The sequence below is a fragment of the Homo sapiens genome, chromosome 5 (assembly GCF_000001405.40).
Source record: "Homo sapiens chromosome 5, GRCh38.p14 Primary Assembly".
NCBI lineage: Eukaryota > Metazoa > Chordata > Mammalia > Primates > Hominidae > Homo > Homo sapiens.
The window spans coordinates 94,805,958-94,823,989 of NC_000005.10; the positions used below are offsets into that span (position 1 = coordinate 94,805,958).

Below are 18,032 nucleotides of genomic sequence, written 5' to 3' on the forward strand. Positions count from 1 at the left end.
TCTTTTTCTTCTCTTCCCCCTTCCTCTAGGATAACTACTCTTGCGTCAGTACAAAGAAATGGAATGCCACTTCTTAGGTGTTCTGGTAGAGGTTTGGTATGGCAAAGAGGTCAAAAACTAACAGCGGAAATGAGGTTTGTGGAGCCAATTTTATTCTTCCTTTTTTCCCACCATCTTACACGACTCTGAATAATCAAAACTTGGCTATTCATAAGATTTCTATTAAGTGGGGTTTTCTTCTGTCCAAAATGTTTAGAAGAGGTTAGCAAGGTGGCTGTAAAGGCAAAGATTGGAAACTGAATGAGCCAATTACATTTTTACAGAAAAAAAAAGTCCTACTTTTTCAAATAAAGATTAAACAAACAAACAAAAATCTGTTCTGCTGAGAAGTTAAGTGAAGGTGGGGCAAGGCTTTTCAGTCATATGAAACAAGGCATACTATACAAAGTAGAGTGAGCAATTCCAAATTTTAAGATTTTTATAGCAACACCATTTCTTAGGAGGTGCAAGACATGCATGATTTTGATTTCTTTGAGCCTGGGGTTTTATGAGTCTCAGGCAGGACTGGGCCATTCACATCATCCCATCAATTGATGCTCTCATTGAAGTGCAGTGGAAGATGCCTGCATTCAATGATCATTCAGTGCGACACATGACAGTATCCCTGGGGGAGCCCACTTCAAAAAAAATCATTTAAGTTGGAATATTGAATATCCTATTCTTTTGCAAACTACAGTATATTTTAAAAAGAAATCTCATCCAAAATGATTAACACTTCCTACTGTTCAGGAAAAAAGCCTGCCCTTTCAGACTAACAGCTGTGGATCATTAGCTCTCCAGTGATGAGATGTGTTTGATGAGTATTTTTCTTTCTAATTAAGAGATGAGATTCTCTATTTGACTGTCTCTTCAGAAAGAAGTGAAGAAAAAATTTTCTGCCTACATGGAAAGGCCATCTCCTACAAAACAATTAATTATTTCACGGTCCTTTTAGAAAATCCTTTTCCTTCCTAATTTCAATTCATTTTTTTCTTAAACTTAACACACATTTACACTCAGACCTTCACAGTATTAACCCATTTTTTACCCAATCTTCACCCCTTAATGTTTTCCTGTATAGTTCATCATTCGACAATATCTGTTTCAGAAAAAACAGAATGAAGAAATGTGCCAAAAGTGCGTATATGCTTAGAAGAGTTAATCTGGAAGGACTTTTTTGGGTCCTAACAGAGAACATTTGGTATGAGAATGTTTCTTGATGTGAGAGAGACCTCAAATTAGAAAGATAACAAATACACAGGATATGCCTTTTGAGGAACTAGGCAATGATTGGGGGGAAAATTCAAGGTGTTTATCAATATATAAAAACTGATTATAGTAATGAATACTTAACAGGAAATTATCTTACCTCTACCAATAAGATTGGCCTTAAAGAAGAGAGCTGGGTAAAGTGAGACCTAAAATATATTGCTTTTCATTTTGAAAAAGCCATCATCAGAGTTGGCAAAGAGGTAAAATTTCTGAATTACAAACTTGATTGAAGAGTAGGATAGTTAGAAGCCAATGAAAGCACTGTTTGTGAATTAACCCCACCAATTGCCTCCTTAAATCCTTTTTGGCACAAGAAAGGGAATATAAAAAGAAGGAGGATCAACTTTCAAACATTTCGATGCTGAGCTGCCACTTTCCTCCCTAGGGCACATTTGGAAATATGCAGGGATGTTTTTAGTTGTCACAATGACTAGGATGGGAGAAGGGAAATACTGGGCATTTGGCGGGTGAAGCCAAAGTGAATCACTCTGAAATATGTGTGACAGTCATACCCAATGAAGAATTTTCCTGCCCCAAATGCTAAAAGCACTCCTCTTTGAGAAAAGTTGTCTGTTTCTCATATAGATAATAGAATATTCTATAATTAACTTACAAAAGAAGAAACTATATGTGTATATACAAGTGTATACAGAAAAAAAGCTAGGTATATTTCCTATGTGATGGCATGAATTATGACTTAGAGTAAGTCAGTAGCAGAGAAAAAATTGTCCTTATAAGCATTTGAACTAGATTCTCCTACTAATGTTTAACATTTCTTTAAAACATGCCCAAAGTACTGGAGGTGAACCCCTTATGCCCATTTACACTCACTCAAATTAAGTCAGGCTCCACCACATCATCAGAGTCTTCAGAACCTAGTCTTCTGGGAAGGAGGTGGTTTTGCCTTGATTTAAATAGCCAGATGGCACCACCACCTGTTCAAAGGTCTTTATTTCTGGTTGGTTCCACTAAAGCTTTTTGTACCACCTCCATTCAACAAGGGAGAGGAGATAGGCAAAGTGAACTTAATTAATTCCTAGCATAACGATAACCTTTTCAAGGTGGTTTTAAAGTATGATGTGTTGCTCTTCTGAAGAGAGGCTTTGCTTTGTTTGGACAATTTTCTAAAGTACACGGTAGCAGGGAATTGATGACTACCTTAGACCCACTGAATCTTTCCAATTTATTTTGCTATTTCCTGTGATCATGCCACAATGATACAGGGAGCATTAATATGCTCAAAAGAGCCTCATGTACAGTGGCATCTCTCCCTTCTCTTAATTAGAATGAAAATTGCTTTCTTTTTGACTAGTTTCAACCAGATACCAAACTGACAAGACTTGATCTGTTGTGTTTTGTTGTGTGTGTGTTTCTTATGTGTAGAGGAAAAAAAATCAAAGTGCACTATCTACCAAATGACTCTATATTGAGTAGGCAAAGTGTGTCAAAAGAACTATCTATCTCTGTTCTGGTAACAGGATGAGGTATATGGGAAGGAGTAGAAAAAAAGTGAGAAATTGGTTGATTTATTGGCAAGCTGTGACTTGAATACATATACTGAAACTTTATTTATTGGTGGTGTTGAAAAAACATTGTTTCTTTGGATTTACTAGGATGAACAAATATACATCAGAAAGTTCCAATTCTTTATATTGTGAAAATGTATGCTGGGTTTTTGAAGTTGCTATCTGAAACCTAAAGTCTACAATCTTAGTACATCAATGCTTTTTTGAAAAACATAGCTTGACTCTATCTATTAAAGAAGCAAGTGTGACAACTAGATAGGACTCATTTGAAGATGTGCTACATACAAGCCACAAAAGCACCTAGTGAAGAATCTCCACAACAAAATGGACCCAAACAGCCTTAAAGATGGAGCTATCAACTAATCATAGCATAATGCACACTACTTTCCTTGATGGAGATATTATATCAATAGAACCTGCCAGCCAGAAGGCTTGGGAAGTTATTTATTTAAATGTTTTTTTTTTTCAGCTTACAAGTTGTACTGATAATTTGTGTCATTTTTATCAAAGTCAGAGATGAAAGGCTCTGGCTTTGCTTTGAGAACACTGACAACTCCAAAATGTAAAGCCCAGAGTATGTCCAACTTGAGCATCACATAACCACACATGAATAACTGATAAGAAATCCCTGCAATGTTGTGAATTTAATGTTAGTAAAAGTTTGGATGTAGAATGAAAGTGACAAATGCTTATAGATGCCTGGAGAATGTTGATTCTCCAAGGTCCCTTTCATTAGAAATTAGTCTGTTACCTTTGTAGTTTGTAATGCCTACCACGGTATCAAACACAGTTGATGTTTTAATTTTAACAGCTTTGTAATTCACAGAAGTTCAGCTCATTCAAAATCAGGCTGCAAGCACAGTCATTCTTGCAGACTACAGATCAGCACATATTTATTATTTTAAATGACCAATTAAGAGGAATTGATATTATGTGGCCTGTGAGGAAGTTGCTGGAATCAAGTAACAATCACTCTAAAAAATGCTCAAGTACTACATTAAAGAAACATTTAAGAATGAGTTAACGCTGTTAAACTCACTGAAGCTTGCCTTTCTCTAGTGCCCCGTTTTCCCAGGATCCAACTTTTTCTGGAAAGACCCACGACTATCTCACTAATGCTAGGTAACTAACAGTCCATGCTTTAATTATTTTCTAAGGAAGAAAAAAAAGTGTTTTAATGTTGGATCTCAGTTGTGTTTTAGCTTTTCTTCTTCTTATGCCTCCAATGAAAAAGATAACTTTTTCATGATAGTCTAATCATTACATGATGTTCTGATATTCCTTCCTGTCTTTCAGGTTTTTAAATTATTGTTTAACAAAATTGTTAGATTCACTGTGATCTTTTATTTAAGTATATTTTACAGAAATTGACAATTTCTATATATTTTCTAAGGCATTAGAAGTGAGGTAAAGATTTATTAGAGCTTATTAAAAGCAGTTTCCTTTTAAACTTTTAAAGAAATGAATGTTACCACTCCTATTTTTGAAATCAATTTTTGATCAGTTCCCCTTTGTGTATATAAATGCTATATCTAGACACACAAATCTTACACCAATGTTTGCTGATGTACAAAATGTAAAATTTCCCTAAGCTTGAAATCTGGCTTTAAAGCTATCTCCATCCTGAACAGGTACAATATTTAGGGCAACAGCTGGCACTTCAGTTGCTCATGGGGGGAAACTCCCTCTGTTCTCTATACTGTGCCAGAAAATAGGATACCCAGCTATCTAACAAGCCAAACACATGTTAGTAAAGTCTGTGATACAAGTTACTTTAAAAATTAGTCCTTCAGTCTTTACACCTCCAGCTCTAATTCACTGAACAGGAATGCCTTTAGAAAAGCAGATGATCAATTATGGTAATTCCTTTTTTATAGTAGCTGATGTGCAGAGTGTTGCATTCTGCCAAGTTCTGGGATATTTGGTAGCATTCTGACTTTTTTCCACTCAAATTATTTCACTCAGACTTATCCAACTTATCACGACTATCTTCCCTGGGCTACTGATTTCTGATCTTTCTTTTTTATCCTTCATGATATAACCTTGCAGTTATTGTTGATTATTCTTTGTCTGGGTTTAATATCTTCATTTAAATCTTAAAATCACAGAGCCAAAGTCAGAAAGTGTGTTTTTAAATTTTCACCCTCATAAATAGATTTAAGACCTAATAATATCATACATTTCAGCTATCATTTACTAGCTTCTGAAACTTCATCTCCCATTCCGTCTTATAATTTTCTAATTTTCTCCTTCACTGGTCTCATTCCCCCAATCCCTCTGTTCTGGAAAAACTTCAAGAGTTATGTTTAGCAGCTCTAGCTATGTCTGAACATTTCTCTTTGCAATTCAAATAATCATCTTAGGCTGATTTTAACAGCCTTCTTTACTCCATTCCATCTTTTACCCTTGCTGCGTAATGTTTACTGATGAATGTCTTTCTCCCATTTATTTCTTAACAGCTCTAAGTGGTCTAGTTACTGCACGGGAAGCCTAAAGGTTTGAGCACTAAGTATACATTTCTCTTGGCTATTTTCCACACCTCTAAACATTCTCTTAAATGCAATGGGGCTTGTGTTTCAATGGTAACAGAAGTTATCAGAGAACACTAGTTTAGACAGCAAGCAAGCCGAACTCCAACTGTTCAAACAGCCTGACTTTTACAGTAAAAGGAAAGGCCCTGGGCCAAGACCACTGAGATGAGCAGGTATTTTTAGTTCACTTGTAGGCCAGCTCTAATGTAATTCTGAAATGTTTTCTTCAAACCAAACCCGACTTTTTCAGGGCTGTCCAAATCTGTTTTCTTTTATAGCAAGTACAAATTCTTGGAGCAAGGGAAGCATGCGTATCATTTGCAATGCTGCTGCATGTCTATGGTGTTGATGCCCGATGGCTCAAATTAGTCCGCAAAACAGATGAGCGCATTGTAATTAGCTCTTGTCAAACTGTTAGAAATACAAAAACCAATTCCACTGTAATAAAAATTATGAAAAAGAAAAATCTCTCCTATCATTTTCAGCCAAAATAGTTCCTGAAATGTCTGTAGTTTAGGATTCCAGAGTTCTAAAAGAAGGCCATTTCATTTTCAGAAAAGCTTTCACTTCATTGACATGGAGATGCCGAGATGTATTATCTTTCAGGCATTTTTCTCATTGTAGCTGATTGCCCATAAAGCCCTGTTTCTAAAAATGACCTGTCAGGAGTGGACATATTTTGTTGAGCCACACGGTACTGATGTACAATTCTCAAGAAACATTTATACTTCTTTGAGTACTGTTTTAAAGAAAATTTTCTGAAGTTTTTAAAATCAATGATTTACTGTGATCAATTTTCCAGAATAATTGAATATTGCATTCTATTTAAACAAAAGGGGATATTAAGCAGGCATTAATCGTAGGTTCAGATGTGATGTCACACTCTCACATGATGATCCTCAGTTTCTTGTTCACAATTTACTTGAATATTCATTGTTGGGACACTGACTCTAAAGACTACTTTGCTCAATCTTTTAAATTATTCACAAGCTTCAGGAAGGTTTCAGATCTCTCTGAAATTTAATGTCCTCTCAAGGAAAAATGTGAGCTATTGGTAGATGGCTATTGTAAAAAGCAAGTGTAAACATGAACCAAAAGGTGGTGCTGTTTGTGATTAGGTCAGGGATACGAAAAAAAAAAAAAACCCAAAAAACTAAAACTAAAACAAAACAAAAAAAAAACCCTTCTACATGTCTTCTGAACTTTTCCAAAGATAAATTCAGGTGTATTTGTGGGAATGAGCACAATAACGTAAAATGAAACTATCTTTAAAAGTAATAAAATTACTATATACAGAAAATTCAGGTGAACACCTGTAGTCTTAGCTACTTAGGAGGCTGAGGTAGGTGATCGCTTAGCCCAGGAGTTCAAAACTGCAGTGCACTGTGATTGAGCCTGTGAATAGCCATAGCACTCCAGCCTGAGCAACACAGTGAGACCTTGCCTCTTAAAAAAAAAAAAAGGTGATACAAAATGGATCATAGAACTAAAACCATAAAACCTCTAGGAGAAAATATTTGTGGCCTTGGGGTAAGCAAGGTATTTATTCACAGACACAACACCAAAAGCATTCTCTCTCTCTCTCTCTCTCTCTCTCTCTGTATAAATGTCTGTGTGTGTGCGTGCGTGTATATATAATGTATATTTAAAAATTTGGCCTCATTAAAGTTAAAAACATTTGTGCTCCAAAAGACACCATTAAGAAAATGAAAAGATAAGCCACACATCGAGAGAAAATAATTGCAAATAATATATCTGATTAAGGACTTGTATTCAGAGTATGTAGAGTACTTAATACGAAGACAAAAACCCCGTTTAAACAATGGGAAAAAGATTTAAGTAGACATTTCACCAAATAAAACATCTGAATGTCAAATAAGCACATGAAAAGATGTTCAAAATCATTAGTTACTAGGGAAACGTAAATTAAACCACAATGGGATACCACTTCACACCCACTAGAGTGGCTGTAATCAGGACAGAAAGCACTAAATGTTGGTGAAGACACAGAGAAACCAGAACCCTCGTATGTCATTGGTAGGAATGTAAAATGGTAAGCCTACTTTGGAAAACAGATTGTTAGTTTCTTAAAAATGTAAACATACATTTACCACATTAACCAATAATTCTACTCCTATCAAAGAAAAATGAAAACATATGCCTACATAAAGATACATACACGGATGTGCATTGCAGCATTATTCATGTTATTCCCTAAATAGAAACAATCCAAATGTTTATCATCTAGTAAATTGATAATCAAAATGTGCTATATCCAAGGAATACTATTCAGTAATAAAAAGAAGATACCTGTAATCCCAGTACTTTGGATGGTGGATCACTTGAGTCCAGGAGTTTAAGACCAGCCTGGGCAACATAGTGAGACCTTGTCTCTACAACAAAATTTTAAAAATTAGCTGGGAGGGGTGGCGCACACCTGTCACTTGAGTTTGGAGGTCAAGTCTGCAGTGAGCCATAATTATATCACTGCATTCCAGCCTGGGCAACAGAGCAAGATCCTGTCTCAAAAAATTAAAATAAAAGAAGACACTACTGACACATTCTACATCATGAACTCAAAATCACCACACTAAGTGAAAGAAGTCAGATGTAAAGGACATAGTGTATGATTCCATTTATATGAAAAGTTCAAAAAACGCAAATCCCTAGAGACAGAAAACACATTAGTGGTTTCCAGGAGCTGGAGGTGGGAATGGAGAGGACTGTATCAGTCATGAAGGATCCTCTGAGGTGATGGTTGTACAACTCTGGAAATTTACTAAAAACCAGTGAATTCTGTACTCAAAATGGGTGAATGTTATGACATATAAATTATATTTCAGTAAAACAAAATTTCACCTGTTCTTTATATTTCATTTAAAATAAAAAGTGCTAAAAATAAATACACAATACACAAATAAATAAATAAAAAGTGCTAAACTTTTGTGGGGGTAAATTCCAATACAAATAACTGAGAGAAACTAGGCTGAGAAAGTTAATGGTAAGGAACCTTGGGTGTATCTTGCCAACACTTCCAAAATATTTTAAAATGCTAGTCGATGACACTATCCACATGATGATTCTTTGGACAGTTGGTCCTCATTTGAGTTCAGAGAAGTTTCACTAAAGCCACTATAAAATAGCTAAAGCAAATATCAACATCAATCTTTGCTAATTATAACTGGAAAAGCAGGGTCCTAGAGGCAGGTGATGGAAAGTGGCAATATAATGCTACCACCATAAGGTGAGGCTATCACGCAACTATAATAGTTCTAAATTCCTATGAAAAATATAATCAGTTAAAATTTTTTGAACTCCTTACTTTCTAAATAAGAAATGGCTGAGAATATGAAAAAAATGCCAAGGAAAACTCAGTGAGAGAAGACATGGAAAGAAATAGAAAAGGACAGCTTAGCCCAACATGCAGAAAGAAAAAAAAAAGTTAAAAGAAAACAAAAACAAACCTTGGCACAGGAGAATGAGGATAGTGTATTCAAAGTCATCTTCTCTGCCCTGAAGAAAGCACTACTGGATAAATATGACAATGTTTCCTTATTTTGTAATCTTGGGTGAGGAACTCTTTTAATTTGGGCCTAGAGTCTTAGGTTTTCATTTGCATTCCTCAGTGATGTCTGTCGCCAAGTTACCTATAGTACCACCTATCAGGAAATAAAACTCCTTAGCCCCACATTCGTCTACGGGAAATACAGCAGGAATACATGTTATGAGGGATTTGTTTTATTTTTCCGGTCAGCAACAGTCAGTGCCTCCCTTAGGTTGGTTGGGTTTGTTTTTCTCAATATATTACATCAAGAAAATAGAAACGAAAACTGCTGAACACAGCAGGACAAGTGAAATACACCTGAAAACCACTTCCAACTGTTTTTATGCCAGCACTTCCAAAATTCTAGGATAACCCCATATCTTCCTATACTGCTACAAAACATTTCTTAATATTTTTCATGATAAAGCTTAATACATGTGTTTGTTAGCTAAGTTATATAATATCAAGCATGGAAAAGCAGGTGGGCCCTGGCAGATTTCCCCTTCTTTCTACAGCCAATTTCTCTATCTATCAATTGCTGCAATCTAAACTGCCTCCCTGTTCTACTGTCAGCTTTTCTGGAGCTATTCTATCTCCCAGGGAGACAGGTGTGGCTTTGTTCTCTAAGTGCATGACACTGGGCGAATCCAGCTCCCCTTTCACTAGTTCAGTTATGGCAACATTGCACTTCTTTCATTTATGTCTTTGCCTTTCAGATATGTTTGACCACACTCCTGTCCAGAAGTGTTCACCACATTTCTCGCTCTAATAAAGACATCCGCTCAGTGGCAACTCTGGATTCAGGGTTTACTAGTGTAATAAAGAGGCAGCAATGTGTTTCCTCTTTTCTAGCTTTAGATCAGTCTTGAGGAGGCATACAATAGTGTACAGCTTTTAAATACCAGTTAGAAAAGAACACTGGCTCAAGACCGTCTGGGTCTTGGTCTCATTGTCAATTAGAGCAATGGTAAATGGAATGGAGCTGGTGTCAAAGAGAGGGCAATATGCGACCTAAAAGCAAAACACACGTCATACCATCTATCATGAAATGCTCTGGGTTGTCTGCATAGCTTTGTTTTCCTCTCCTTTATGTCTAGTTTATGCAAAATGGAGGGTAACTGGCATACAGATGGGGAGGAAAAGCCTAAAAAGGAAAACAAGAAAAGGTAAAGTAGGAAGGGCTGAATAATGCTAAGACTTCTCCCATAAAAGAAGTAAGCTTTTTTTAATTGAGAAATTTTGTGGATAATGACAGCCCTAAATCAGCTGAAATGTTTTAGTGTTCAAGGTAAAATACGTATGTATAAATATGTTTGCCAAGTGTATACATGGATATAACATCTTTGTGTATATGGATACAACATTAGATGTGTGTATATAAATTTATATCATGTGTATATTTATCTGTACTTTTATTCATCCCATGGGAAGTGTGTATCCATAAATATTAAGTAATTATGTGTTGGCCCCTCTCCCTCAACTATAAAATTAAAATATCAATTCAATTATACTATGAAAATTCATTAAATGCTGTTAATGTTTATCTCACTTCTAAGAAATAATTTTACATGAATTAATATAGTACTGTTAATATATTTAAGGATTTTTATTATTTTGAAACCTAAATAGGAATTAAATATGAAGCTGGATTTAAATAATTTAATTAAATAAAATTATTACCATGAAAGAATAATTATAACTAAGCATTTCTATGCCCCAGAGGATCATTTAACTTTTTTCCCCTTTATCAACTTCAATTATATGTTTTTATTTTTATTCCCATATTGCAGATAGAAAAATTGAGTTTAGGGTAAGGCAAACATTTTCTATCATGTGCCATAGCAATCATTTTTAATCTCTACTTCACAATCTTATTTCCAAAAATAAGGTGGTAAAATTTGACAGGATTTTAAACAATTTTTGTAGCCTCTCTTCAAGATTGTATGAAAAAATTCTAAATATATAAAGATTATTGAATATAAATGAGTATACTTAAGGGTATTATTTTATTAATGTACTCTAAAAATTTCTCCTTGTCCATTAAAAAATGTTATTTTCTTCTTCTTACTTCCTCCCCATTTTAAGATCCATTTTAGACTGTGTTAGAGATAAAAGGTGTCAAAGATAAGAAATGCTCTTGATAACAGGTACTGAAAACCTGTAACAGAGAAGCCCTATGTCTTGTTGAAAATCTCTTATCATCTCAAACCTTCAAGACTCACCCAGTGTTTTGGCACAGCTAAACTGTGTCTGGGCTGGGTGCGGTGGTTCACACCTGTAATCCCAGCACTTTGGGAGGCCGAGGCAGGCGGATCACGAGGTCAGGAAATCGAGACCATCCTGGCCAACATGGTGAAACCTCGTCTCTACTAAAAATACAAAAATTAGCTGGGTGTGGTGGCATGCCGCATGCCTGTAATCCCAGCCATTTGGGAGGCTGAGGCATGAGAATCGCTTGAACCCATGAGGCGGAGGTTGCAGTGAGCCGAGATCGCGCCACTGCTCTCCAACCTGGGCGACAGTGAGACTCTTGTCTCAAAACAAACAAACAAACAAACAAACAAACAAACAAACAAACTGGTTTACTATGCAGAAGGAGTTGAAACTTGCTACCTCTTAACCTTTGAACTCCACCATCTTTTTGACAATTACAAGGGTCTCAGTTCCCTGAAGCACTGATTACTATAAAAAGTACAGTGCTGGTTTCTGAGGGATTTTTCCTATTGTCTTATTGTTTCTTTTGTTACACTTCAACCTCAATTCTAGGTATATTGTAGTTGTACTAATCAGACTTAATCTGCAATACAAGTAAGTTATTATGGGGAAGGCAGCATGTTTTACCAAAGATCGTGGATCGATTTGTATTTATACATATTTCCTCTTCTCATCTGAACCATTATTGGTTTACATATATGATTTTGGCCCTTTTTAGGAACTGTTGGCCGATCCATCATCTCTTACGATTGGGCTCTCTTGTTCTTCTGTTCAGCACTCTGATTTTCCTTGGGGAAACCCTCCCCCACTTTTAGTTGATGGTTTCTGGTGGTGCCGGTTCCACCCCTGGCTCTGCGTGGTGGACATTTGACCCAGACCTGGTCAAAAAGAGTATCAGCTGCTCCTGGTTATACTAATCGGTTCAAGGATGGGCAAATCAGAACAGTGAGACTCAACTGTGGGTCTTTGGGATTACAGCAAAAAAGAATCTTTTTTCCCCTGAACAAAAGCTAGAAGAAGGTAAACCTGAAGATATTTATGGCCACTTACGGGAAATCCTGTCTAAGATGAATGCTAACGCAGAGGAAAACCAAGCCAAGATATGGCAAGAAACTAAGGTCTGATTGAATTCTTTTAGCCCCTGAAGCAGACATGTCTGAAAGTATGATTTGGCCTTCCACAGATACACATACAAAAGTAAGTAAAAAGGACCATTTAAACATCTTGGTGTAATTCTTACAGATTTTGAAAAATTTTAAATTCATCCATCACACCTGGCCCCCATCAGACATAATTAGAATCTCTGGCAGTAGGGCCTGGAATCTGCATTTTTAGTTATTCCCTGAGTGTTTCAGGTGATCAGCTAATTTAAAGACCCATTATGAGTTATTGACTAAAAATTCTCACTCTTCTCGAACACCATCAACAGGCCATATGGAGTTTACATACTGCGCTAGAGGCTTCCTAGAGAGTAGACTATAAAATAGATAAAGTAGGTTAAGGGCTACAATTACTCTCCTTCTGATAGCTGTGATGGCTCTACCCTTTCTCTTCTACAGTCAGGAAAGAGAAGAGACTGCAACCATGTGGTAGAAACTTTAATGAAGGAAGGTCTTCTTTCTTCTTCTCAATGGCCTCCTGGTAAATTAAAACTGTCTCTAATCCAATCTGTGTTCTGGCAAGTGTGAGACTTACCTTCCTGCTACCTGTTTGACTAGGATGGTCAGACGGAATGACTGGATAAAATTTAATTTGAAAGAGAACACCCAAGATCTTACCAAATTCAATTTTTCTCATCATCTTAGAAAATTCAGATAACCTACATGGGAGGAACTGAATTTGACTGTTAGGTCTTAGAATTTAGAACAAGGGGTTATTTTAGTGTCATAATTTCCTAGGGTGTAAATGCAGTGAGTGGGGGTGTAGATTTCCAAATCTCAGTTGACTTGGTTGGTTTCTTTACCCAGTTACATAAAGCAAGATAAACTACTTCAAATTTATTTATTTATTTATTTATTTATTTATTTATTTATTTATTCATTCATTCATTCTTTCATTCATTCGAGATGGAGTCTCACTCTGTCACCCAGGCTGTAGTACAATGGCACGATCTCGGCTCACTGAAACCTCTGCCTCCTGGGTTCCAGCCATTCTTCTGCCTCGGCTCCCATGAGGAGCTAGGATTACAGGCGTGTGCCACCACACATGGCTACTTTTTTGTATTTTTAGTAGAGACGGAGTTTCACCATGTTGGCCAGGCTGGTCTCAAACTCCTGACCTCAGGTGATCCGATTGCCTCGGCCTCTCAAAGTGCTGGGATTACAGGCATGAGCCACCATGCCTGGCCTAACTACTTCAAATTTATACTCCTTGTCTCTGATTGGCTTCCCTTAGCACTCTTCAGCGTACAGTTTTTCAGAAAGGTTGAGATAAACACAATATTCATAGATTTCCTGCCTTCACATCTGTTTAAGGGTGGTTTCCAATCTTTGCAGAAGTGTTCATCTATGTCAATTCTAAGGGTAGACAATAGGTCCAATGTGGCCATCCTGTTAAAAAGAGGTGATTATTTATTCTCCAAAATTATTGACCTTTTTATATCACTAGACATTCTGAGTGAGTCTTCTCCATGATAATTCACCAGTCAACCATCTCAGGCCAAAATTTTACCTAACAGCAGGAGGATTGTAGGCACAATATTTTACCATTGACTCCTGCAGCTTTTAGGAAAATTGGCCACAAACAATACGTTTTCAGATAGTTCATTCTGGAACTTTTCAAGATGGGCAGAAATTCATTATAGATAAGTTGCACGAAGTCCTCTGGGCATCCAATGATTAATGATCCTATAGAACCTGTCCTTCTGTGTTATCTTGAATTGGGTTTTGTGGAAAAGTTGTCTTGATGGACAAGAATTTTCAGTGAGATAAAACCAGATGTGTTCTACCCTCTTTTACACCATGTGGCAACTTCTTTTTAACTTGTACCTTGATGACTTGTCACTTTTGACTGACTGGATGCAAAGCAAAAGGAAACAACAGAAAAAGTGTTTCCTAACATATTGATGTCATGGCTTTATTGTCACAAAATAGGTGTGAGCTTAAAAAACAAATATCTGACTATTTAATCAGTATTAAAAAATAGCTCGAGATTAATCATTCTAAAACCCAAATGATTATTTTTGGCAGATGCTCTGAAGCACTCAAGTTAGTTACAGTTAACCACTCTGAACAGGATCTTATCACCAAAGCATAGCAAGTTTTGGCGAAGGACTCACAGGAAGTTATAAGGTTAGCTGTTCAATGGTTGCTCTAATGGGACCTTCTTTATGCCTATGGTAGTGGGAGTTTCATAACACCTTCTTTAACATTTTTTGCAGGCTAAAATAATCACAGTCATGCTCTTTGGCATAGAATTTTGAGGTTTGTGAGAAAAAATCTTGTCCCATTCTCAGCCCATGTCCATGTGGAGGCGAGGTGGCATTTTACAGATTTATGTTTTGGTTAGACTTCTCAACTTTTAAAAGAGTTGTCAACTATATTCCCATCTCAGCTGAGGCTTAAAGCATGGTCTGTCCCTAATTGGCAACAGAATATTTGCACTCCAAGTACTTGTCAAAAGAGGATAACGCTGAACGCTTGCTGCCCAGTGCCTATCAAAAATCAGTTGTGAGAAATTGTATTTATGGAAGGTTGCCTGAAGGACATACATTCCTTTTTAGATCTTCTAAATTGTATTTTTGGATTTAGCCAAACCATTTGAGAGTAACATACTTAAACCCCATAGCTATGTTACCTCAATAGTTATTGTGTCCCTGTGCCTAGCACTGAGATAGGCGCTTTTCATACTTGAGTAATAATCTTTAAAATAACCATGCAAGGTAGGGGTTAATATCTCTTTTCCAGATCAGGAAACACTCCCAGCACTGTCAAATAGCTTGCTCAAGGCCACCCAGCAAGTAAATGGCATTTTACACAATTCAAACCAAGTCTATCTGGCTCCAAATTTCATCGTCTGTATATAGTGCTAGAGTTGCTTTGACGGAACTGCATTTTGGTGTTGCAGCAGCAGCCTCTACTGAGGGAAGTTAAATGAAAGAATTCTGTGAAACACAAAACTGTATTTAACTCTGGAGATTTTGTTCACATTATACAGTGTCAGCTTTATAAAGGCTCTTGAATAAGAGCTTTTGCGGTCTTAGTACTGGAAATAGTTGGGCTTACACTGAGCAACTAATGGGCTTAAAATAGAAATATCAAGAAAATTGTGAATCATGTATCTGATAGGGTTTCCCTTCATCGACCTTCTGGGAAACACAGATTCGACATTTTGATCTTCCCCTGTCTAGTACTTGAGCTCTGCATTTTATGTGCCACCTTCAGCACTAGAATTAACGTATTTTTTCCTCCTGTTCTCTAACCATCAGTGTGATTCCTTTATTTAGACATGCAATTTGTAATATTGTATGTATATTTGTAATATATTTCCATTACTTCCATATTTTCCCAGTACAAATAAAAAGCCTACACTTATTAAGCATTTAGTATGTTTCAGAAACTGTGCTAAATGGCATTATACTATACAGTTGTCCCTTGGTATACACCAGAGATTGGTTCCAGGACCACCCTCTGATACAAAAACCTATACACACTCAAGTCCTGCAATTGGCCCTGAGGAAACCAGGTACATAAAAAAATTGGCCCATCCTATATGTGGGCCTCACATCCCCTGGATACTGTATTTTCTATCTGCATTTGATTGAAAAAAATCCATATATAAGTGAACCCTTGCAGTTCAAACTTATGTTGTTTGAGGGTGAGCTGCATTTTCTTTTTAGTAACTGTGAATTACGTTATACCATTAGCTTGATTTTACAGATGAGTAGCATGTGGCTCAAAGAGGTTTAAATATTAGGTTGCTGCAAAAGTAACTGCAGTTTTGCCATTAAATTTTTTTTGCATGGTTTTCATATCTGTTAATTAATTTATTTATTATACTTTAAGTTCTGGGATACATGTGCAGAACATGCAGGTTTGTTACATAGGTATACATGTTCCATAGCGGTTTGCTCCACCCATCAACCCATCATCTACATTAGGTATTTCTCCTAATACTATCCCTCTCCTTGTCCCCCACCCTCAAACATGCCCTGGTGTGTGATGTTCCCTCCCTGTGCCCATATGTTCTCATTGTTCAACTCCCACTTATGAGTGAGAACATGCGGTGTTTGGTTTTCTGTTCCTGTGTTAGTTCGCTGAGAATGATGGTTTCCAACTTCATCCATGTCCCTGCAAAGGGCATGAACTCATTATTTTTTATGGCTGCATAATATTCCATGGTGTATATGTGCCACATTTTCTTTATCCAGTCTAACATTGATGGGCATTTGGGTTGGTTCTAAGTCTTTGCTATTGTGAATAGTGCTGCAATAAACATACATGTGCATGTGTTTTTATAGTAGAATGATTTATAATCCTTAGGGTATATACCCAGTAATGAGATTGCTGGGTCAGGTGGTATTTCTAGTTCTAGATCCTTGAGGAATCACCACACTGTCTTCCACAACAGTTGAACTAATTTACACTCCCAACAGTGTAAAAGTGTTCTTATTTCTCCACATCCTCTCCAGCATCTGTTGTTTCCTGAATTTTTAATGATCGCCATTCTAACTGGCATGAGATGGTATCTCACTGTGGTTTTGATTTGCATTTCTCTGATGACCAGTGATGATGAGCTTTTTTTCATATGTTTGTTGGCTGCATAAATGTCTTCTTTTGAAAAGTGTCTGTTCATATCCTTCATCCACTTTTTGATGGGGTTTTTTCTTGTAAATTTGTGTAGGCTTCTTATAGATTCTGGATATTAGCCCTTTGTCAGATGGATAGATTGCAAACTTTTCTCCCACTCTGTAGGTTGCCTGTTCACTCTGATGATAGATTCTTTTGCTGTGCAGGAGCTCTATGGTTTAATTAGATTCCATTTGTCAATTTTGGCTTTTGTTGACATTGCTTTTGGTGTTTTAGTCCTGAAGTCTTTGCCCATGCCTGTGTCCTGAATGGTATTGCCTAGGTTTTCTTCCAGGGTTTTTATGGTTTTAGGTCTTACGTTTAAGTTTTTAATCCATCTCAAGTTAATTTTTGTATAAGGTGTAAGGAAGGGTCCAGTTTAAGTTTTCAGTATATGGCTAGCCAGTTTTCCCAGCACCATTTATTAAATAGAGAATCCTTTCCCCACTGCTTTTGTCAGGTTTGCCAAAGATCAGATGGTTGTAAATGTGTGGTGTTATTTCTGAGGACTCTGTTCTGTTCCATTGATCTATATATGTGTTTTGGTACCAGTACCATGCCACTTTGGTTACTGTAGCCTTGTAGTATAGTTTGAAGTCAGGTAGCATTATGCATCCGGCTTTGTTCTTTTTGCTTAGGATTGTCTTGGCTATATGGGGTCTCTTTTGATTTCATATGAAATTTAAAGTAGTTTTTTCTAATTCTGTGAAGAAAGTCAATGGTAGCTTGATGGGAACAACATTGAATCTATAAATCACTTTGGGCAGTATGGTCATTTTCACAATATTGATTCTTCCTATCCATGAGCATGGAATGTTCTTCCATTTGTTTGTGTTCTCTCTTATTTCCTTGAGCAGTGGTTTGTAGTTCTCCTTGGGGAGGTCCTTCACATCCCTTGTAAGCTGTATTCCTAGGTATTTGATTCTCTTTGTAGCAATTGTGAATGGGAGTTTGCTCATGATTTGGCTCTCTGTTTGTCTATTATTGGTGTATAGGAATGCTTGTGATTTTTGCACATTGATTTTTTATCCTGAGACTTTGCTGAAGTTGCTTATCAGCTAAAGGAGTTTTTGGGCAGAGACAACGAGGTCTTCTAAATATACAATCATGTCATCTGCAA

At 36.7% G+C, this 18,032-nt stretch overlaps 1 protein-coding gene across 54 annotated transcripts in view; it reads right to left on the reverse strand.

The window, feature by feature from the left end:
* The window catches only part of MCTP1 (multiple C2 and transmembrane domain containing 1), a 581,405-nt gene that overhangs the window by 102,268 nt on the left and 461,105 nt on the right, over positions 1-18,032 (reverse strand). The window contains exon 18 of one of the 54 annotated variants that reach the window (XM_047417723.1): positions 13,127-13,675. The exons of the other annotated variants lie outside the window; for them this stretch is intronic. Within the exon in view, the coding sequence (XP_047273679.1) occupies positions 13,643-13,675 (33 nt within the window). The 3' untranslated portion in view covers positions 13,127-13,642. Of the gene's footprint in view, positions 1-13,126; positions 13,676-18,032 lie in introns of those variants that run through there. 54 annotated transcript variants of the gene reach the window in all.